The sequence below is a fragment of the Homo sapiens genome, chromosome 9, assembly GCF_000001405.40.
Source record: "Homo sapiens chromosome 9, GRCh38.p14 Primary Assembly".
NCBI classification, from domain to species: domain Eukaryota; kingdom Metazoa; phylum Chordata; class Mammalia; order Primates; family Hominidae; genus Homo; species Homo sapiens.
Genome location: NC_000009.12, coordinates 133,911,307 through 133,933,172, shown reverse-complemented (window position 1 = coordinate 133,933,172; position 21,866 = coordinate 133,911,307). Strand labels below are relative to the sequence as shown.

The window sequence follows — 21,866 nt, the reverse complement described above, 5'->3', positions numbered from 1 at the left end:
TGTGATTTTATCATGGAAAGGATCATTCCACGTGTTAAAGGGACACTAACGTGAATGAGACTGTCTCCCTCTCCCAGGGATGGCCCCATGTGGAGGCTGGTTTGACCAGTGTTTTCCCTGCTCATGGCCCTCACTTGCTGCTTAAGGGCGGTCTCCGCCCACTGGCCCTTGGGTTTTTTCTTCTGCCTTCCCTTTGGGACAGGTGTAGAGGGTTTCCTTAACCCAGGAGGAGCATTGGGAGGGGACCCACCATGAGTCAGCCTGGTTCCCTCTGCTCCTGGCCCCTGCCACCTGGGGAGACCTGGGCAGCAGGCAGATGGACCCCTGGAAACCCTCCAGGTTTTGGAGCCCTGGGAAGCCTGCCAGGTGGTCCACTGCACCTGCCTTCTGGTGCCTCCTCTCATCCAGGCTCGGTGGAGCCAGGCGGGCCCTGGAGGAGGCAGGCGGGTGAGAGCAAAGCTTCCGTCAGACCTGGACGCGAGTTGGACTCTGTAGATACTTGGTCTCGTTGAGCCTTTGTTTCTGCAGGGATCAAATGAAGCTTGAGACTGTCCCCTTGGAGGTGTTGCTGTAAAGGACTCGGTGAAAAAATGAACGGCAGGTCCTAGTCATTTTTATTAGCATTTTCTTCCTCTTCACTCACCCCGCAAGTTCCAGTAGGAACTAAAGGATCCAGAAGGTTTATTCCGGAAGTGTTTCTCTTCTGGCTGCTTTCCTGGTATTTTTTTCAAAGGGTTGCATTAAAGAGATTAGGTTTTGGCTCAAATAAGTTGTGTCCGGCTTCCTGTGCTGCCCGGGGTGGGCGTGCTGGGGCCGAGTTATGGCCGAGCGTGAAGGGTGAGTCCGCAGCCCTTGCTGATGGGAGCCGTTGGCCCTGCTCCCCGCCACGGCCTGTAGATCCTTTCCTGTTTTCCTCTGTGCCCTGTGTCTGGGCGGTTTGTCCAGTTGCCCAGCTGGGAAGGAGTGTGGAGAAGCCCATGGGTCGCCAGCTCTGGCGGCTTCTTCCAGGGGCTGGTTTGCCCCAGCTTGGAATCCGGTCGGGCATTTGGAGGGAGGATTCTGGTGAGGCTGCGGGGTTTCTGTGGCTTGCTTCTGAGATTCTGGTCCCTGGACTCTGCAGATCATGATAGTTCCGACCGTAGGGACTCTGATCTCATTGCGAGCTGGGACTGAGCACAGGTCTGCGGGAGGGAAGGAAGGCACCCCGGCAGCGCACTGACTGTTTACCATGTGCCGTGGTGTCGCCTGTGTTATCCCCACCTAAGCAACTGGTGCACGGTAACATGGCTGTGAGTTTCTTGGGTCCTCAAACCCTCGCTGTCCTCCCTCCCCAGGTGCCTGGTCATGGCATTGTCATTGGGATCCGTCCAGCTCCTTCGCGGGGCCCTGGGCAGGTGGCTTTCCCTGAGCCTGATGTCCTCTCCTGTGACGTGAGGACAGTGGTCCCGCTTCCCCTGTTGATCAGAGCCTCCTGGGCACCGGGTCACAGGCAGCTCTTTGTTAGGGCTGGAGCGGGGTGAGCAGAGCGTGATGAGGATGCTGTTGCTCTCTCCCTTTGTGGGGATAGTTGCCATTGACAGTGTGCACTTGCACCCTAGGTCAGGGGACAAAGGGACAGACTCGTTCAGGAGGTGAGGGCTGCACTTCTGGGCAGAGGACAGGGAAGGCAGCTGGGCAGAAGGGAGGGAAGAAAGGAGGGGAGAAGGGAAGAGGGAAGGACGTGTTTCTCCTGAGCAGCACAGGGTGCTCCCTGCCTGCAGGAGGGGGGCCCCCTGGGCGCAGGTGCTTCTGGTTGTCAGAGGGAAAGCTCTGTCCTCCCTGGTCCCTGCCCCTTGCTCCCCCTCGCTGCTGTGGAGCTGCTTCAGCCCCTCCTGCTGCTGGGCTCTCTGGCTGCCCCCTGCCTGGAAGGTTCTCCCCAGAGCTGCTGGTGCCTTCCCGCTCTCCTGCAGGCCCTTACTCAGCTCTGGCCCAGCAGGGCCTGCCCTGATGGCACCTTGCCCTGTGCGGGGACAGGTTTCCGAGTGAAGTCTGATGCTGCTTCTCTGGTGTCCCAGCCCAGGCCACCCTGCCTGGCCCCAGGAACCCGCGGTGCTGGCTGGGCAGTGCACTTCACTCCAGCCTCACTCGGGGCGGAATGAACCTTCCCAGAGGAAATCGCTAGGCCGCTTCTCTTGCTCGAGTTAAAGAGCAGCGCGCACCTTCCAATAAACGGGCTTAATTCTCCTATTTATTATTCATTAAAGCATTTTGGGAGGCTCAGAGACTTCTGAGGCAGTTAAAACTGGCTCTCAGCACTGTCTGGGGGTGGCTCCATGGCTGCTTACAGATTCTGAAGTGCCAGCTGGCGACGCTGGACGCACACCACCGGTCACCTGAGTGCCGGCCTCTCCTGCTGCCCCTCCCTCCTCCACGGGAGTAATCACTTGTGGCTACTGGACCTTTATGTCCACGAGCACCTGCACCCTGCAGGGACCTTAAGAAGTGAGGAAGGAAACAGGCACAGAGAAGATGCATCTCACGTGTGCTCTGCGGTACAGTGGAGCTGGGGGCATCCTCAGGTCCTGCTGATGACAGGGGCCCCGTTTTTATCTGCTCGGCTGTGCCCTCTTCCCTCTGACTAGCAAGGCAGCTGTTGCACGCAGCACAGTTGTCTGTATGGAAGGCGCACGGAAGACGGCCAGGATGCCGGGAGGCAGAGAGGAGGCCGGGTGGCAGTGAAGAGGCCAAGAGGCAATGAGGATGCCGGAGGACAGTGAGGATGCTAGGAGCCAGTGTGGAGGCCAGGAGGCAGCAAGGAGGCAGGGAGGGTAGTGAAGAGGCCAGGAGGCAGCAAGGCTGCTGGGAGGCAGTGTGGATGCCAGGAGGGAGTGAGGAGGCCAGGAGGCAGGGTGGAGGCAGGGAGGGTAGTGAAGAGGCCGGGAGGCAGTGAGGATGCCGGGAGGCAGAGAGGAGGCCAGGAGGCAGAGTGGAGGCCGGTGGGGCTGTCTGGGGAGAGGAAGTAAAAGGCCTGACCCTGGAGGGGAGGGCGCTGACCAGCAGTCTATAGAGGATGCAGTGCAATGACCACCGGTGTCGGTGCTGACGGCGTCAGTGCAGGTACGGATGGTTCCCTTCAGCTGAGAATCTCAGACCACTCTGGGCCTTCTCAAGAGGCTGGGAGGAGGAAGGGAGGGCAGGGCCCTGCTGAATCGGAATAGCTCCACTTTTATCTGTTTTTTATGTGGCATTTTGCTGACATTTTGCTTAAAAAAAGGGTTCTGAAGAGGGTAAAAACATAGTTGGAAACCATTGATCCGTCACAGCTGAGGAAACCTGCCTCCTTTGAGTTGGGCCTGGGGACACTGGCGGTGGGGACAGGCCGCTGGGGGCACTGGCAGTGGGGACAGGCCACTGGGGTCGCTGGTGGTGGGGACAGGCCGCATCACTACGTCCAGGATGAGGGAGTCGGCTGTGCACCTGCTGCAGATGATGGACGGGCAGCTGTGGTCATCCCAGTCCCTCTGGCCCTGGGTTTGTCAGCAGCTGAGAGGCCCCTTGGCTTTTGCGTGCAGGCAGAGGGGCCCTTCCTCCTTGCTGGAGTAAGACCCCTCCCTCACCACTTCTATTCCTCTCCTCTTCTGCCTGGGACCCTTGTCTATCAGCCTTGGGTCCCCCTACCCCCGTGGAACCTCCTGGCATGTGCTGTCACTCTATCCACCTGAGCCAGGGCAGGCACCTCGAATCCATCCTGGCACCTCCCACCTGTCAGCACAGCACCCCAGCACCCTAGCACCTGGCAGTCACCAGGAGCTGGCACAATGGGGGACCCCAGTTTGTCACCCTGGACTTCCCATCTGCTCCCCGGTTGTTGCCACAACCCCTGCCATTGCCCCTTCCCCCACCACAAACCCACCCACCACTGTCCGGACTTGAACTTGAGGGCTCAGGTGGGAGACTGCTGGTGCTTCTGGGGCCAGGTGAGAGTGGACCCACGAAGACACCATTGAGGGCTGGGGACAGGTTGTGATGCCGAGGATCAGGCCGTCATCAGGACCCAGTTTGTCCCACAGGTTGCTTCAGGTCTCGCAGCTGTCATTTCCCCATCTGTAAAATGGGTCTAAAGATTTGCCTCCCCCATGCCGAGGGCTGTGGGCGGGAGATTCCAGATGGTGCCGCTGCCTGTTTTCATGGGCTGGGTCTCGTGAGGAAGCTCCTGGGAGTGGTGCTGTGATTGTACCAGCCGCGTTTGAGCACGTGGGTGATGACCCTGGCAGTGGGCAGGGGTGCATCTGATGGCCATTCCAGTGGCCTGGAGTGCCAGCCTCACCCGGCCAGTGTATCCTGCCCCACACCCACCATCCACCTGCCCTGCGTCTGGGGCTGGACAAGTGTATCCAGATGCCGTCTCAGCCATGTCATTGATTTCTCCATTTTACATCTGCGTTGATGAATGTGTCCCGCAGGCTCTGTCTGGCCAGGGGAGAACACAGCAGTAACCTTGGGGTATTGATCCAGCACCCCTTATCTCCACACCCAGGCCCCGAGGCTGCATGTGTTTGTTCATTTCCTCTTCGTATTTGTTCATTAATTTGCTGAGTGCAGAAGACTCTGTGCTCACCCGAGGCCTTTCTGCCAGTCGGTCTGATGACTCTGAGATGCTAATGCTGCGGTGAGTTCATTTGCACTCCCTGCCTTAATGCTGGCAGTGAGACGTGCTAGTCTTTGTAGCAGCATCCACTCCACACTAATTACTTATTAAAATGCAGTCGCTCCTCGCTGGGGTGGGGAGCTGCCTCAGGCTCCCGGCAGAGCCCGGCGCAGGGGCTGTTGGCAAAGGCCTTCAGAGTTTCTGCTTGAAAACATTTCCTCTTTTATCTGCTAGTTGTTGTCATTTCAGGACGTTATTCACCCACCCACTTTCAGATGAACTTGACAACCAGATATGCTGCACATGGGCACAGACACACACATGCACGCACACACACAGACATACACACATGCACGCACACACACACACACACACGGAGTCGGTAAGCCCATCGGATGCTGACCCGCCGTTTTATAACTGGGGATGGGAGAGGTTTTTCTCTGCTTTCCTTTCCAGGCGGGAGCCATGCCCGTCATTAACTTCACACTGGACAAGGGTGGAGGGTGGTTCAATTTTGGTAGCCGAGTCCCTACAGGTCTGATGAGCTGCGTGCCTGGAGGTCAGGCTCAGCCCACTGTGCTTCATGTGAGGTGGCTGAGCCTGGCGCGCCAGGCCAGGAAGCCTATGGGTCTTTGCCTCAACCCTGCTCACAGGATCCTAGGAGGCTGTGATTTCAAGACCTGAGTTCAAGCTCTGGGAGCGGCCTTGGCCCATGAGTGGATCCCTTGATCTCCATGCCAGTGGTGTGAGGTAGGGATTCTTGCTCCTGTGCCAGGAAATGTGGTGCCAGGTTGGGAACTTGTACCTGCTTGAGGGTCATTACTGTTGGCTTTTTATAGAAGGCTGAGGGGTGAAGGAATAGAAACCAGAGTGATAAACGCAGAGGGGAGGATCTGGGGGCCGCTTGGAGTGGGGCCAACTCCAGACAGAAAGGCAAGGGTGCAGGGGGTGAGTTGGGGTGCTGGGTGTGGGTGTGTGGCCAAGACCTCAAGAGCAGTGTTTCAGTGAATGCCAGGCCCCACGGGCCACCTAGCACATGGATATCCAGTTTTCCCAGCCCTATTTGTTGAAAAGACTGCCCCGTGGAATCGGGACAAGAGCCTCTGGGCTGAGCCTCTGCTGTGTTCTCTGACCGTGGGTGGCCTCCCATCTCTTCCCTGTGCCTACTACATCAGTGGAGGTAGGAGCCTAATTGAAGACTTGGTTAATCCTGATCGATTGGTAGTGGCTGACTGGAGGGCTCAGCTGAGAAGGGTCCCGAGGCTCAGCCATTGATTAGCGTTGTCTGCCGTGGGTGTGGTATGAGAGCATGGGTACATGTGCCAGGGGTTTCCCACTCCTGGGCTAGCTGGTCTCAGGTTTCGTGTCCCCAGAAAGAGGAGAGAGCACAATAGCTGAGGGGTGCTTTCCAGAAGCCTGCCTTGTTCTTGCCACCACTGGTAAGGTAGGTCCTGATAAGAGCATGTGTAGGGGGGGACTCAGCCTGAGTAAAGCAAGGACTGGATGCTGGGTGGGCACCTGCAGAAGTGCTGCGGGTGTCTGTGACAGGCTGCCCGGTGTTTGCAGAATTGCATTGATTTTTCTGAGATGGCTGAGGTTTGGGGAGTTGCTATAGTTGTGGCCAGGGCTGGTGCTGGGCCTCCCCATCCCTCCACAGTGGGGCTGTTGCCAGGAGGGTGGTCCTCTCTGCTTCTGTGTGCTCTGCTTAGCTCAGCTGGTGCCAGGACATGCAGCCTCAGATGATCGGAGCCTGGGAAGACAGGGAGCCAGGGGCCACTGCCTACTGTGCAGAGTGACAGGGACTTTGGTGGGCAGAGGTGTGTTAGACAGTTGAGCTAGTCAAGGAGGGCTTCCTGGAGGAGGTGCTGGGGTTCGAGATGTGAGCTGCAGTTCACCAGGTGAAGGTGGTGGTATGGGAGGTCTCAGGGGCAGCATGTGCAAAGGTCCAGAGGCTGGTGGCGGTGGCCTGGCCTGCTCAGGTTTAGAAGGGAGGTCTGCTTGGAGTAGGAGACTGGGAGGGGCAGGAGCTAGGGCAGTGCCAGAGAGCCCTACCAGAGAGATTTGGGGTGCTATCCTGGGGTTTTCAGAAGGGAGACCCACGATCTAAAGCTGCAAGCCAGGTTGTTGGAATTAGTAATAATAACTTAGCACCTGCTGGGCTGCCGGGGGCTGGCGCCCTGGGGAGTGATGCCCACCTGTTGTCTCCCTTCCCTCTTAGGACTTGGCTCTGGGAAGAGGGGCCTCTGGGTGGCAGTGGTGGCAGCAGCCCACGCTTCAGGACGCACTAGGAGCAGAGGAGGTGTGCTCAGGCCCTGCCATTGTTTCTCATTGTACGTGGACTGGTCACTGCTCTACTCCCTGGGCCTCAGTTTCCCCATCTGGGAATCAATCCATTTGGTTGGACTGGCTGGATGACCTCTTGGGTGGGTCTTTGTCACTTCTCTTTCCTGTGAGTCCCCACCCCGTTGGCTGAGAGCTTGCATTTTCTTAGCTGGTCCTGGTGCAACTGGTGCATGCTTTTTTTTTTTTTTTTTTTTTTTTTTTTGGTCCATGTCCACAGTTAATTAAGTTTTAAATGGTTAATTGTTTCTCCCCAGTGCCCCCAAGACATTAATTGTGTCTGTTGGAGCCTGACAATTTGATGTTTGCAGCAAAAAAGCCAAATGAGACCAAGAAGGAGAAAAGAAAAAAAAATACCAAAGTGTAAGTAATTAATTATAACGAAGTGTCATTTCTTGGCACCCTGGAAGACCTTTCTCCAGGAGTACTGGTTTTTTGAAGGTAGATAGGAGTGGGCGGCCAGCCTGGTACCAGGCATCAGCTGTGGGGTCAGGCCCTTAGGGCTGGGGAAGGCAGCGGCTCTGGAATGACAAAGTGTGTGGCTGTGAACTTGCTGGGCTTCCCAGATCCCCAGCAGCAAGGGCAGTGGCGAAACATGCAGATTCCTTGGCCACTCTGCCCCTGGGGACTTTGGGGCTGGAGCCCTGGGTGATCCTTTTGATTCTCAATCTTTAAAAAACATTACTGTGACCAGGTACAGTGGCTCATGCCTGTAATCCCAGCACTTTGGGAAGCCGAGGCAGGTGGATTGCCTGAGCTCAGGAGTTTAAGACCAGCTTGGACAACGTGGTGAAACCCCGTCTGTACTAAAAATACAAAAAATTAGCAGGATGTAGTGGCACCCACCTGTAATCCCAGCTACTTGGGAAGCTGAGGCAGAAGAATTGCTTGAGCCCGGGAGGCGGAGGTTGCAGTGTCCCAAGATTGTGCCACTGCACTCCAGTCTGGGCAACAGAGCGAGACCCTGTCTCCGGTGGGGGGAAGAAAAAATTATTGTGATAAAATAACATAAGAGTTACCATTTTAAAGTGTGCATTTCAGCAGCATCGAACAGATTCCCAGTGTTGTACAACCATCCCCTCTGTCTTGTTCTGGAATTTTTTCATCACCCTGAAACAAAATCCCATTTCCTCTTGCCCCATCCACCAGTTCCTGGTAACTACTAATGCATTTTCTGTTTCTGTGGATTTGCCTGTTCTGGACATTTCATATAAGTGGAATCCTACAATATGTGGCCTTTAGCGTCGGCTTCTTGCACTGAGCGTGAAGTTTCAGGTTTCACCTGCGCTGTGGAAGCCGCCAGTGGGTCATTCCTTTTTGTGACTGAATCATATTTTACTGTTTGGATCGACCACAGCTTGTCCATCTATGCACCTGTTGGTGGACACTGGGCTGTTTTCACCTTCGGCTCCTGTGAATATTCATGGTCATTTAGTCCTGAGCCCTCTGGCCCATAGGCCCCCTCCCTTCCAGGGCTCAGGAGACCATCACCATGAGGATCCCAGGAGCTGACATTGCCCCTTGGACCCTGAAGGCTGTTCCTCTTGAGGGAAGAGCTGGTGGTGACTGGCCTCCTAGTGGACGTGTTCTTGTCTGAGCTCAGGGGCAGGCCTGCTGCAGTGTAGGTGACTTAGTGTACAGATTGGAGCCGTGGATGAGGTGAGGCTGGGGGCTGTTGTGATTACTGCTATTGTTAACTGTAGCACAAATAATAAGGGCCAGGCGCTGTGGTGGCTCAAGCCTGTAATCCCGGCACTTTGGGAGGCCGAGGCCAGTGGATCACTTGAGGCCAGGAGTTCGAGACCAGCCTGGCCAATATGGCAAAACCCCATCTCTACTAAAAATACAAAAATTAGCTGGGTGTGGTGGTGCATAACTGTAGTCTACCCCAGCTACTCGGGAGGCTAAGGCAGGAGGATGGCTTGAACCCGGGAATTGGAGGTTGCGGTGAGCAGAGATATACCACTGCACTTCCAGCCCGGGCAACAGAGCGAGACTGTCTCAAAAAAATGAAAATAAAAATAAATAATGCCTTCAAGACCCTGCTTTGAATTCTTTTTTTAAAAATTATACTTTAAGTTTTAGGGTACATGTGCACAATCTGCAGGTTTGATACATAGGTATACATGTGCCTGTTGGTTTGCTACACCCATCAACTCATCATTTACATGAGATATTTCTCCTAATGCTCTCCCTCCCCTAGTCCCCCACCCCCCGACAGGCTGCAGTATGTGATGTTCCCTGCCCTGTGTCCAAGTGTTCTCATTGTTCAATTCCCACCTATGAGTGAGAACATGCAGTGTTTGGTTTTCTGTCTTTGTGATAGTTTGCTGAGAATGATGGTTTCCAGCTTCATCCATGTCCTTGCAAAGGACATGAACTCATCCTTTTTTATGGCTGCATAGTATTCCATGGTATATATGTGCCACATTTTCTTAATCCAGTCTATCATTGGTGGACATTTGGGTTGGTTCCAAGTCCTTGCTATTGTGAATAGTGCCGCAATAAATATACATGTGCATGTGTCTTTATAGTAGCATGATTTATAATCCTTTGAGTATATACCCAGTAATGGGATGGCTGGGTCAAATGGTATTTCTAGTTCTAGATCCTTGAGGAATCGCCACAGTCTTCCACAATGGTTGAACCAATTTACACTCCCACCAACAGTGTAAAAGCGTTCCTATTTCTCCACATCCTCTCCAGCATGTATTGTTTCCTGACTTTTTAATGATCACCATTCTAACTGGTGTGAGATGGTATCTCATTGTGGTTTTGATTTGCGTTTCTCTCGTGACCAGTGACGATGAGCATTTTCTCATGTGTCTGTTGGCTGCATTGCTTTGAATTCTTCTGGCTATATACCCAGAAGTGGAATTGGTGGATCATATCGCATAGTAGTTCTATGTCTAATTTTTTGAGGAAACTCCGTACTGTTCTCCCCAGTGGCGTCACCATTTTCCATGACCACCAGCTGTGAGCGGGGCTCCCATTTCTCCACATCTTCACCAACACGTGTCTTTTTGTTTGTTTGGTAATAGCCGTCCTCTGCCTAGGTCTGAAGCTCATTGTGGTTTTGCTTTGTATCCCCGAATGATTAGTGATGTTGAGCATGTTTTCATGTGCTTGTTGACCAGGTTTACATCATCTTTGGAGGAATATCTATTCAAGTCTTTTGCCCACTTTAAAATCAGATTTTGTTGTTGTTGAGTTGTAGGAGTTCTTTACATATTGTGGATATTAACCCCTTATGAGAGACATGGTTTGCAAATATTTGCTTCTATTCAGTAGATTGCCTTTCACCCTGTGGATAAGTTCTTTTGCTGGGCAGAAGTTTTAGAGTCTGATGTAGTCTCATTTGTCTGTTTTCGTTTTTGTTGCCGGTGCTGTGGGGTTATATCAATAAATGATTGCAAATCCAATGTCATGAAACTTTTCCCCTATGTTTTTGTCTAAGAGTTTTATAGTTTTAGCTCTTATGTTTAGGTCTTTGATCCATTTTGCCTTAATTTAATTTTTGTATATGGTGTAAGATAAGGATCCACCTGCATCCTCTTACATATAGCTGTCCAGTTTTCCCAGCACCATGTGTTGGAACGATGATTCTTTCCCACTGAATGGCCTTGGAATCTTTGTGAGAAGTCACTCAGCCACGTACCTGAGGACAAGTGTTTGGTTCATAATATACAGCCTGCGGGTTGGCAGCCAGAAGCCATCACCTGATGGGCAGGAAGGTAAATGCTCACAGATGACCAGGTCAGCTGCTCACTGTGAAGGGGCTGCCCCGCCAAGCCCAGCTCTTTTCTGCCCCGTGCCCCTACATTTAAATTGCCCCACTCTGGCATCATCATCACCAGGCCCCTTGGTCCACTGGGCACATCTGCTTCCCCGTGGGTGTCAAGCCCCTTCCTGGGTATGTGAAGCCCAGGCAGGTAGACGCTCTGGGGTCACGGCTATGACAGAGCCAGAGGGAGGACTTCTGCAGGGCAGGGTTCCTTCTCCTAGCCCAGCCAGGCATAGCAGGTGGGTGCTGCCCCACCACCTCCCAAGACTGGGCTGGAGAAGCTTCCCGCTGCCACCTGGCAAACAAAGCAGAGGGAGCCGGGTCCGGGTCCCCCTAACAGCGTGGGCTTGGGGTCCAGCAGGCGGGGCCCATCCCGTGCCTGCATGCATGGCGTCTGCACCAGCCAAACACACCTGTGCGTGCGCCATTAGCTGGCCCACTCGCCCTGCCGGTGCCGGGAAGCAAGCAGGCTGACTACTGCCCATCAACGGGATTAGAACCACCCTCGCTTCCAGTCCCATCACGATCAGAACCACACTCGCATCCAGCACAATTAGAACCACTGTGACGGTTCGTTTCCATGACGGATGGGGCTCTGCTGAAACTCAAGTTCATCCGCGGTTGATTTCTTATACTTGCTTAGGCTAGGGGTCCTTGTGTGTGGCCGAGCCCCTCCACACTGCAGAGGCTGCTGAGAGCACTTGGTCAGGGGAGCAGGGCCTGGGCCGTATCTGGGCTTATTGTAGGAGTTCTTTACATATTGTGGATATTAACCCCTTATGAGGGACATGGTTTAATCAAAGACTAATTATGAACTATATCCCCAATTAGAGTTTCTTTCCCCAGCCTGCAGGGAGAGGCACAGGGAGAGGCTGCAGGGAGAGGCACTGGGAAGCTGGGTTTCTTCGAGTGAGACACAACTTTCTTTCTTTTTTTATTACTGTTTTTGAAAAATAGAGATAGGGTCTTGCTGTGTTGCCCAGGCTGGTCTCCTGGCCCCAGTCAGTCCTCCCATCTCTGCCTCCTGAAGTGCTGAGATGACAGATGTGAGCCACCATACCTGGCCTGTGGACGTTCAGTGGTCTGAAGAAGAAGCCATTCATTCACTCATGTGTTCATTCATTCATTCAGCAAACATGGCGCTCCTGCCATGGCCAGGTGCAGGGGTGGAGTGGTAAGGGAGCAGAGCCCACACTCCGGCACGCACAGAGCTGTCATCTGGTGGGGACTCTCTGGTGTCTGAGACAGCAGGCGGAGGGAAGTGGGCTGACTCTGTATCCCCCGCCGTCTCCCCTCCAAGGACTCCTCTGAATAGCCTGCCTTCCCCTCTCAGGGCTGCACGGCTTCAGAGATTATGCATATTAAGCCAACGACATTTATTAAGTAATTGGTTTTCTCATTTTTTAATTAATCAAAGACTAATTATGAGCTATATCCCCAATTAGAGTTTCTGATCCCGCACGATAGCAGGGCCCCCCACGGAGGGCACTCAGGGCCAGCCAGGAAGCGGGTGGGCCGAGGGGTATGAGTTAGACTTTTGGGGATGTTCAGGGTGCTTGGAGACTCCTGGGACATGACCTTCAGGGACCTCAGTTGGGGCCCCTTTCACTAGTGGAGGTGCGGCCCCGTGTCGTCAGGCAGCCGCAGCAGCAGGCGGCCAGTATGTTGCCCAGCACTGGCCTGCTGTGGGGAGACAGTGACAGACAGCATCCCCCGCCTTGAGCCGAGCAGCTGAGCCAAGCCTCCTCTGTGTGACGGGGCCTAGGGGTGGGCGGGACCTGGTCCTGGATGGGTCTGTGGGGCGCTCAGAGGGAGGGACACCTGGGGAGGGGGCACCTCCCCTGCTGGTATCAGCGACGCTTTTCCATGTGGCCTCAGGGACCTCAGTGCTCAGGCCTCCCAGGCCAGCTGGGCAGGTGGAGGGGGCACTGGACACCTCTGCCTAATGACCATGGGCTTTCAGTGAGTGATCCAGTGGTGTGGTTCTGGGCCAGCCCAGCACCGCCTCTTCTATGAAGCCACCCTGGATTGCCCCAGCCTGCAGGGAGAGGCACAGGTGCTCACATGGCTGGCGAAAAGCGCCCTCAGCTGTCTTGCACTGCTGTGCAGTGGGGACACTGAGGCCTGGTGAGGGCCAGGGCTGCTTCGTGGCCCTTTGTGGACTGGAGGCAGAGCCCGGACTCTCTCTCCTGGCCCTTGGCCTCCATCTAGGCCTTTCTGGGGCTGACTAGAAGGAGGCTCTCAGCTCTGCCTTTGATGGCAGATCCCTCTACCTGCTGAGCTGTCTGCTGGCTGCATGTGCAGGAGTGAGTGAGGCCTGGTTCTCGGTGTGCGGTAAGAGGGAGTACCTGTCAGTTCCCCGTGCAGCTGGAGGATGGGGTCCACACTGGGGCCCACGCCCAGGCCTGTCTGGCCTCCTGGCACGTGGCTCAGCGCAGAGAACAGGTGCTGACTGATGCCTGGGGCCTGGCAGAGCAGGACTGGGCAACGTGGAAAGCAGCCTTGGGTCCGCCGCTGTATGTCCAGCAGAACTGACTCTGGGCTCCGCGGAGGACATGCGGTTGGGTGGTGGGTGAGGCAGGGGTGGCCGGGGCGGCAGGGACAGTCGGGGCAGCGGGGACCTTCCATCTTCCATGTCTCTGCCTCACGGATGCCAAGAATGCGCTGTTTGTGTTGCTCCCCTGAGACTGGCCACGTCCATCTGGCCCCACTCTCTGCGCTGTTTCCGGCTTACATTCCTCTCTGATCTGAGACTGAAATATTTGAGCTGGTGGCAAAAGTGGCTGAGCATCTTTTCTCTCCCAAGATGGGAGGAATGTTCAGGAAAAACCCGGTGTCCTGGTGGCTTCCCTTGCTGAGTGGGCAGCCCTTGACCCGTGGCTTAGAACAGCCTAGAAATTGCCAGCCGACCTGGCCCCGGGGGACAGTGAGTCCCTGGGCTGGGAGCCGGGACACCTGGGCTCCTGGAACCCCTCACCCAGGGCTGTCCAGTGAGGAGGCCCCACCCAGTGAAGCAGAGATTATGGTCTGCAGCTCCCAGGATCTGGTTTCAAAGCCCGGTGGGGCCCTAAGAGTCTCCAGCCTTTCTGAGCCTCTATTTTCCCACAAGTGCCAGCTTAGCAGGATTGCTGTGAAACTCAGGTGCCAGCCCCAGAGAAGCTTCCAGGACAGCAGGCAGTTGTGATTTTACCTTTCAGTGGTTGGGGAGTGTCAGAGGTGCCAGGGCACAGCAGTGAGGGGGTGCGTGGAGAGGCTGTGGGCAGAGCCAGGCCTGATGGAGAGGGCGGAGCTAGGTCAGTGAAGAAAGTGTGAGGATGGGATGTGGGGAAGTCTTTAAAAACATGGTGGCGGCCGGGGGTGGTAGCTCTCACCTGTAATCCCAGCACTTTGGGAGGCCGAGGTGGGAGGATCACAAGGTCAGGAGTTCGAGACCAGCCTGGACAACATGGTGAAACCCCGTCTCTACTAAAAATACAAAATTAGCCTGGTGTGGTGGTGCACGCCTGTAATCCCAGCTACTTGGGAGGCTGAGGTAGGGGAATCGCTTGAACCCAGGAGGCGGAGGTTGCAGTGAGCCGAGATCGCACCACTGCACTTCAGCCTGGGCGACAGAACAAGACTCTGTCTCAAAACAAACAAACAAACAAACAAACACACACACACACATGGCGGCTGCTTCTTGGGAGGCTTAGGAGCCCAGGGGTTGAGAATGGGACTTTTGGACTCAGATGGGCCTGGATTTGAGGTCTGCCTGTGTGTTTATTAAAGGCGCGACCTCGGGCATGCTACATGACTCTGTGGGCCTCAGCTTTCTTACCCACGAAATGGACATAACAGTATCAGCCACGTGGAGTTGTGAGGCAGGAACGAATGAGCTGCCGTGAAGGACTTGGCACTGTCCTGGCACTAGTTGGGGCTCAGAGATTCCAGGCTGACTCTTACAATGGGTGCCACCGAGAAGGAGTCTGCCGCCTTTCCAGGGCCCCTGGCCTGGGTTTCTGAGTGTTTCCTGGTGGTGGTGGTAGCCCGGGCTAGCAGCTGGGCCTGGGTCCGGACCAGCAGATGAAAGTGCGGGAAATGCAGACACAAGGCTCGGAGCCAGCGCCGCCTTCCTGCTCTCTGGTTCGCTTTTCTGCCGCCGCAGAGAGTGCGCTCCTTTGTTTAAAAATAGTTTCTAGCCGAGCTGGAGGCACCGAGTCCTCTTTAGCATTTCCGACGGTTTCCCTATTAATGTCACTGGAGGAAACCACCCTGAGATGCCTTTCAAGTGGAAAAGGAGAGCTGTCCTAATACTGTGGGCATATCATTAGGAAAAGCAAATTAAATCATGTTTAATGGTGTTAGAGTCTCAATCACTTTGGAAAATGGAGTTGGTGAAGCAGGGAAATGAGAAATTGCTGACCTCCTGTGGAAGGAGGTCAGTGAAGGAGAATCTGGGAGTTGTGCTCGTGGAAGTGGCGATGGGCCGGGGCTTAGGGGGCTGGGGATTCAGCCGGGAGGGTGGGGGGACCAGGGCGGGGGACCAGGGTCTCCAGGAGGCTGCGTCAGTTCTCTCTCCCACTGTCCTGGTCTCCCTCGGGAGGGTGTGGGTCCAGCTAGCCTTTTCTGTCCACAGGGTTCTCTCTCTGGGATCTGTTCGGTCCTGTCCTTGGGGGCCCAGCATAGGTCAGTGTCAGATGGGACCAGCTTAGTCCTTCAACTGGATGCCCGGCCTGGGCCAGTCGCTTTCCTCCCTAAGCCTTGGTTTCCCCGTCAATAAAGGGGAGGATGGCACTCTCTCAGGCAGGCTAGGACAGGGAGTGAGGCCCAGAGGGGGTAGGCAAAGTCCCAACTGCATGGCCTCTGTGGGATGGGCAGGGCCCCTCTGTGCTGTGTTGACATTTTCAGTGGCATAAGTTTTCCCTTTGGAGGTTATGCGTCTTTGTGACTTACTAGAAACGATAAACAAATAAAACCCTTCTAGCCAAAAAAAAAAAAAAAGAAAGAGTTTTCTGTTTTTCTCATGATGGGTTCCCAGCTCTCTGTTAAGTCAAAAAATATTCAGCTTGACATTCCACCATTAGAGAATCATTCCTTTGACTTGAGAGTTTGTCCCTGTCGGCGTAGGTAATCCATTGGGCTCCACCATTGCCTTTTGAGTGCTGAGTTTGTCACCTCCTCTCCTGAAAATGGGTTCACATCAGGAACAGGTAAAGAACTTGGCCCCTGGAAGAGGAGGACGGGGATAGGGCCCCTCAGGGAAGGGAGATGATTTAGTGAGCTCTAGGGCTAGGCTGTCATAGGCCTCTGGGTGGGGAGCAGGTCTGGGGCCTGCTGGGTGGGCTTTTGTGCAAAGAGATTTGCAGTAGAGAAAGAGGAAAACCCAGGGTGGGATGTACAGGGGACAGGACCCCGTGAGAGTGGCAACCTCGTCCTTATTAGTCCTTGCTGAGTGTTCCCAAAGCTCCGGGTTTCTTTGTATGTGTCTCATTTAATCCTCACATTTGATGGACGGGGACGCTGAGGCTTAGAGGGGGTTGGGTGAGTGGCCATGGGTCACACAGACAATGGCAGAGCCGGGACATTCTCTTCAACTCTGCCATGCCAGCATCTTCCTTCACACCCCTTGACCTAAACAGTCCCAACATCTGCATTCAGAAGGTACTTAATTAATGCTTTTTGCATGGCTGGAGGCATCCGGGGTGTCCTTTGCAGGGGAACCGACAAAGTTGTGCTGGTCCTGGAGGCCCAGCCGTGAGCCTCTAGCCAACTCTTTCTTCCAGCTCAGCTTCTGGGATCAATACACAGGCACTCCCGGCTCTTCTCTCTCCCTTTCTCTGTTCACCCCCTCCTTTCCCCTTCTCCATCCATATCACCAGTGAGACCCCCACTCACCCAGCCCCACATCCTCAAACTGCCCAGCTTCCCAGCAAGAGTCCCAGCACTTCCCAGGGTGGCAGAGAGCCAGGCTCTGGGATGGTGACGCCGACGCTTTTGTTAGTCCTGGGCCTGTGCGCCCGGGCCCTCGTTGGCACCCACCACCTTCCCTTTCTACAAAGAGGGCTTTATCCCGTGGAGAGAAACTTTCCAAGTGAATCACTGTCAGTTAGCATTCAGCGCAAGTCACAGGCTCCGCGGGCAATTCATCTTGCGCCTTTCTTCCTTCTTATCGAGTGGGACCAAGCCCAGCTCGGTGTTGCCTGTCCGCCTCCTCCATGGAGCCTTGGATAACCCCGCTGGCTAGGAGCAGAGAGGCGTGTTTGAGCAAAGCCCCTCCTTCCCTCCATTCTCCCTGGGGGAGCAGCCGTGGCCTGTGCCCGTTTCCTGCCAGGCTTCCTTCAGAAGGGAAGGTGCGTGTGTGCACGTGTGTATCTTGTGTGCATGTGCATTGTGTGTGAGTGTGCATGGGTGCCTTGTGTGCATTCCGTGCATGTGTGCACATGTATATCATGTGTGCATCGTGTGAGTGTGTATGTGTACGTGTGTGCATCGTGTGTACATGTACATCGTGTGCATGTGTGCATTGTGTGTGCACGTGTGCATCGTGTGTGAGTGTGCATGTGTGGGTCGCGTGTACATGTACATCGTGTGTGTGTGCGTTGTGTGTGCACGTGTGCGTGTGTGAGTGCATGTGTGCATCGTGTGTACATGTACATCGTGTGCGTGTGTGCATTGTGTGTATGTGTGCATCGTGTGTGTATGTGTGCGTTGTGTGTACATGTACATCGTGTGCGTCTGTGCATTGTGTGTGCACGTGTGCATTGTGTGTGTGTGCATGTGTGCGTCGTGTACATGTACATCGTGTGCGTGTGCACATGTGCATTATGTGTGCATTGTGTGGGAGTGTGTGTGTGTGCGCCTTGTCTTTGAGACTGGCACCAGTTTTTCTAGGGGTCTTCTCCATGGAGACAAGGGGCCCAGTGAGGGCTCCTGTTTTCAGGGTGCTTTGTAAAGTGGGCACAGCCCCTTGTCCGGCATTTTTTTCAGTAGAGACTTCCTCATTGCACCACCTGTGCTCCTTGGGAGAAAGTCAGCTGGCCGTTGGCAGGTGGAGTCTGTAGAACGCCAGATCGTGCTGAATCCCCTTGAAAATATCAGGTTGAGGGGTGTGGATGGTGGCTGCCGGGAATTCAAAAAGTGTAGTCGTGAAACCACGTGATCACAAGGAGGGCGGGACGGTGGTGTGGGGGCTGACTGTGGCTTCCAGCTGTGGATGTCCCCACTCTGCCCCACCATGGAGAATTCCCTGATGTCCCCAGAGCCAATGAGGACTAGAGTCAAGGCGTCAGAAAGTGGGTGTGAACTCCCTGAGCCAGGAAAAGGGGACACTAATGGAGAACAGGCCGGTGCTCTTCCGGCCAAGCGGCCTGTTTCAAAGCACTCCTTGGTGTTTTCAAGATTCCCAGACACAGCACCCGTGCTTCCCTGCTCCCTCCCAGGTCCTTCCCCCCGTGCGAGCTGTCCTGGGTTTGATGCCGCTTGGCCCAGCACTGGTGTGGCGCTGAGTGGACCGGTGACCTTGGTCACATTCACCTGTTCCAAAGTCCCAAACCTCCCTCTCCACTTTGTGGAGCTGTGGGACGGCAACAGAGATAGAGAAGTGAATGCCAACCTCTCCCCTCCCCTCCCCTTCTCCCTTCCCCTCTCCTCCTCCTCTCCCCTCCCGTCCCCTCCTCCCCTCCTCTCCTCTCCCCTCCCCTTCCCTCTCCTCCCCCTCCCGTGATCCCTCCCCTCTCCTTCCCCTCCCGCTTCCCTCCCCCATCCCTTGCTTCCTCCCCTCCCCCCTCCCCTGCTTCCTGCTTCCTCCCCTCCTCTCCCCCTCCTCTCTCTCTCTGGTGGTAGGAATACACACAGCAGAAATCCCATCCCTTGGCAGCCGTCACCCCCACCCCATCCCCACTGCCCTTGGTCACCAGAGTCACACGCTGCGCGCCCTTTGAGTCTGCATCTTCCCCTGAGTGTGGTGTCCTCCAGGCTCACTAAGTCAGCGCTTCGTTCCTTCTTCTGGCTGAAGAATATTCCACGGTCCAGGTAGACCACGTTTTGTTTATCCATCCGTCTGCTGATGAACATTTGGGGTGTCTACATTTCTTGGCCACTGTGAAGATCACTGCTGGGGACATTCGTGTCCCGGTGCATTTCTGAACACCTGTCTTCCCATCCTGTTGGGTACATACCCAGGAGCGGGATTGCTGGGCTTCACGGTAATTCTGTGTCTGGCCCAGTGAGTGCTGCCTTTTCTGATGTGTGCTTAGCCCGCTGTGAGACACATCTGTCTCGAAGCCCCAGGCAGCCCATGCTGGGTTTGGAGGCTGGCCTTTCTGACTGAGCTGGACTGTCCAGGGCACCTCCTGGGGCTTAGGGTCTCAGGGGTTTGCGGTGAGCATCGTCTTTGGTTGCTTGTTGGTTTACGTTTCAGGATAATGTTAAGTCATAGCCAGCGGCTCTTGGAGTGGGGACCAAACAGAAACCCCTTCGAAGAGCTCCAGGGAGGTGGGAGGCAGAGTCTGGGGGAGTGGCTGAGGACAGCCAGGCTGGCATTGCTGGGCCTCTGTCTGCTGCGGGCTCCACCTCCTGCTCCTCCTTTGCTCACCTGCTTCCCGAATATCCCACCATGGCTGCCCCCAATGGCAGTGTCAGCTCCCACGAGCGTACAGCCGGCCCCGAGGCTCACTGACCTGGGCGCGGTGCCCAAGGCCTGGCATCTGAGCATCTCCATGGGGTTGGGAGTTCTCAGTCGTGGCCCTGCTGTTTGCCCTGACTTTGCCCCCTCCCTGTAGGTCTTCAGAAAACTGGCAGGTTCCGTGATGAGTGTCGATTGTGCACCTACTGTGTGCGCGTCCGGTCCCCCGCCTCCTGGGACCATGTGCGCAGGCTCTGCCTTTGGTTTTTTACCAAGGGCAGATGGGGCAAAGGATCGGTCATTTCTGCACTTTTTGGAGAAACCGCCCTTGAAGATTCTGATTGGCATCCCTGGCATAGAAGCCTCCGGAGTGGGGCACCAGGAAGCGCGCACCACCCCTGACAAGGACTTTGGTTTCTTCTTCTCGCTGGTGTAGTGAGGTCCCTTCTGTGCTGACTGCCAGGTGGCTGGTGCCTGCGATCGTTCCCACCTTCCTGTCTTACCTTTCGTGTGTGTCTCCCGTTCTGTGTGGTGGCAACGCGTGTTTTTATCGTCCTTCTCATGGGGGCCGTGGCGCCAGCTATGAGCCGTTGTTTGGGAGCACAGGGGGTGTTCCAGCCCAGAGTCACCAAAACACTGGGCTCTGGGACATTGTCTCACCAGAGGTGGGTGTTGGGGGCGCCCCTCTCAGAGTGCCAGCTCCCTGGAGAGGAAGAGGGGGCAAAGGGCTCCACCCAAAGCTGACGTTTGTCTTGGAAGTGAGGTGAGGTTTGCACGGTCTGCGAACAGCCCTGGGTGTGCAGGGTCAGGCTGGGCCTTCAGAGGACAGTGCCTGCCTCCCAAACCCGGTTCCAAATGGCACTCCACCGCCCGTGGACTGTGCTGGCTGAAGTTGGATTTTCCTCCTTAAAGTCACCAGGATCAGGAGCCCTGATTCTGATGAATAGAAGCTATGTTTGGGACGAGTGGTCACTGGCTCACAGGACGACTCTGATTTTAGAGGGACGGAACGAGGACAGGACGATTGTGATTTTAGAGGGGCTGAACAAGTACTTATTAGCTTAGTGCAGAAATAAAAGAACACAACTATCCCCCCTAATAGTCAACCACCGGTGACTGCAGCCCCTGAGGATGGCTGCCTGACAGCTTGGGAGCGCCTCGGGAGTGCTGTGCACACGTGGAGAAGAGCATCACACGTGTAATTTGTGTTCCGCGATTGAAATGGGCAGAGAAGCAACACGTTAGGGTGCAGGAACCTCTCCCCGTGTGCCCCCACCCCCAGAATTTGGCTGCAGCTCCCATGCTCGGACCCAGCACCAGTGACATATGGGTGTTGATATACCCTGACATGTTGGGGTACAGATGGAAAAGCGCCACTGCGTCCTGGTTCCTTCATCTAGGCACACTGTCCTCCAGAAGCCTCCGGCTCGTTTGTGTGGCAGGACTGTGGGGATTTGGACGGACATAGCCTCGTGTTCAGCCCGGGTCTCATGTTCCCAGACCTGGAAGGCCTTCCCGCCTTCTTGGACCATCCTCCGGTGACGGTGTCCTGATGCCGTAGGTTTCTGGTTTGTCTGTTTTGTACTAAAACACTCCTGGTTGTCAGCCCTTCTCCCACGTGTGTTGGAGGCCGGGACTGTAGCCGCAGCTGATCTAAGTTCACCAGCGGGAGCTGGTGGCTGTCCTGAGCTCAGCTGACACCCCATCTTTGAAAATCAGCCATCTTTGGAGGGCAGGGAGGAGATCAGGAAAGATAGCTAATGGATGCCAGGCCTAATACCTAGGTGATGGGATGCTCTGTGCAGCAATCCAGCATGGCACACGTTTACCTATGGAACACACCTGCACATCCTGCACGTGTACCCCTGAACTTAAAAGTTGGAAATAAAAAAAAAGAAAATCTGACTTACTTTCTTGGCCTGGGCAATCCTGACCTGTGGGGCTCTGGGCCACGTGAGAGTGGGTTTGGAGGACATTCGGTGTGTGGTTGGTAACTGGCATCCCTGAGGCTCTTGCTGAAGGCCTGTGCTGACGAGCAGCCCTCCCCGCCCAGGCGGACCTTGTTTAATGCGCTTACTTTTGGACATGGCGTCTTTAGTGTGTGTGTGATGCAGAGGTCAGGAGGTTGATGGGGGAGCAGGAAAGACGAGTTACCTGATGCACAGCTAAAGTGCCTGCCACCCTGACTTAGGCCTCAGGAGTGACACTGGCCATACAGTGGGGGGTCACCAGTGGGCACTAGAAAACATTTTGGGGCCGGTGAATATGTTCACCGTCTTGACTGTGTTGACAGTGTCACGGGTGTGTACATATGTAAAAATAAGGACATGACACTCTCTGGAGGGTGTGCAGCTTATCGTCTGTGGATCATACCTCCATAGAGGTATGGTAAATTTAATACAGGTCTGGTAAATTCAATGCAGTTGAACGTCAAGGTCTTAGTCTCACCAGCCGCATTTCACGTGTGCAGGCTGTGTGTGGCTGGCGGCCCAGGCATCCGCAGCACAGACACG

At 55.1% G+C, this 21,866-nt stretch overlaps 1 protein-coding gene across 9 annotated transcripts in view, besides 5 other annotated features; it reads left to right on the top strand.

Annotated features, from left to right (window-relative positions):
* Nucleotides 1–21,866, top strand: part of VAV2 (vav guanine nucleotide exchange factor 2) — a 230,431-nt gene that overhangs the window by 59,152 nt on the left and 149,413 nt on the right. The gene's annotated exons all lie outside the window — the stretch shown is intronic.
* Nucleotides 1,815–2,463: an enhancer, noted in NCBI's record as "H3K27ac-H3K4me1 hESC enhancer chr9:136795832-136796480 (GRCh37/hg19 assembly coordinates)". NCBI's record gives its function as "activates a minimal SCP1, AML or CMV promoter by ChIP-STARR-seq in naive H9 embryonic stem cells {active_cell/tissue: H9 hESC(naive)}" and the evidence as "EXISTENCE:reporter gene assay evidence [ECO:0000049][PMID:30033119]".
* Nucleotides 5,937–6,116: an enhancer, noted in NCBI's record as "active region_29256". NCBI's record gives its function as "activates an Ori minimal core promoter by ATAC-STARR-seq in GM12878 lymphoblastoid cells {active_cell/tissue: GM12878}" and the evidence as "EXISTENCE:reporter gene assay evidence [ECO:0000049][PMID:35858748]".
* Nucleotides 12,935–13,714: an enhancer, noted in NCBI's record as "H3K4me1 hESC enhancer chr9:136784581-136785360 (GRCh37/hg19 assembly coordinates)". NCBI's record gives its function as "activates a minimal SCP1, AML or CMV promoter by ChIP-STARR-seq in naive H9 embryonic stem cells {active_cell/tissue: H9 hESC(naive)}" and the evidence as "EXISTENCE:reporter gene assay evidence [ECO:0000049][PMID:30033119]".
* Nucleotides 16,434–17,382: an enhancer, noted in NCBI's record as "H3K4me1 hESC enhancer chr9:136780913-136781861 (GRCh37/hg19 assembly coordinates)". NCBI's record gives its function as "activates a minimal SCP1, AML or CMV promoter by ChIP-STARR-seq in naive H9 embryonic stem cells {active_cell/tissue: H9 hESC(naive)}" and the evidence as "EXISTENCE:reporter gene assay evidence [ECO:0000049][PMID:30033119]".
* Nucleotides 17,383–18,332: an enhancer, noted in NCBI's record as "H3K27ac-H3K4me1 hESC enhancer chr9:136779963-136780912 (GRCh37/hg19 assembly coordinates)". NCBI's record gives its function as "activates a minimal SCP1, AML or CMV promoter by ChIP-STARR-seq in naive H9 embryonic stem cells {active_cell/tissue: H9 hESC(naive)}" and the evidence as "EXISTENCE:reporter gene assay evidence [ECO:0000049][PMID:30033119]".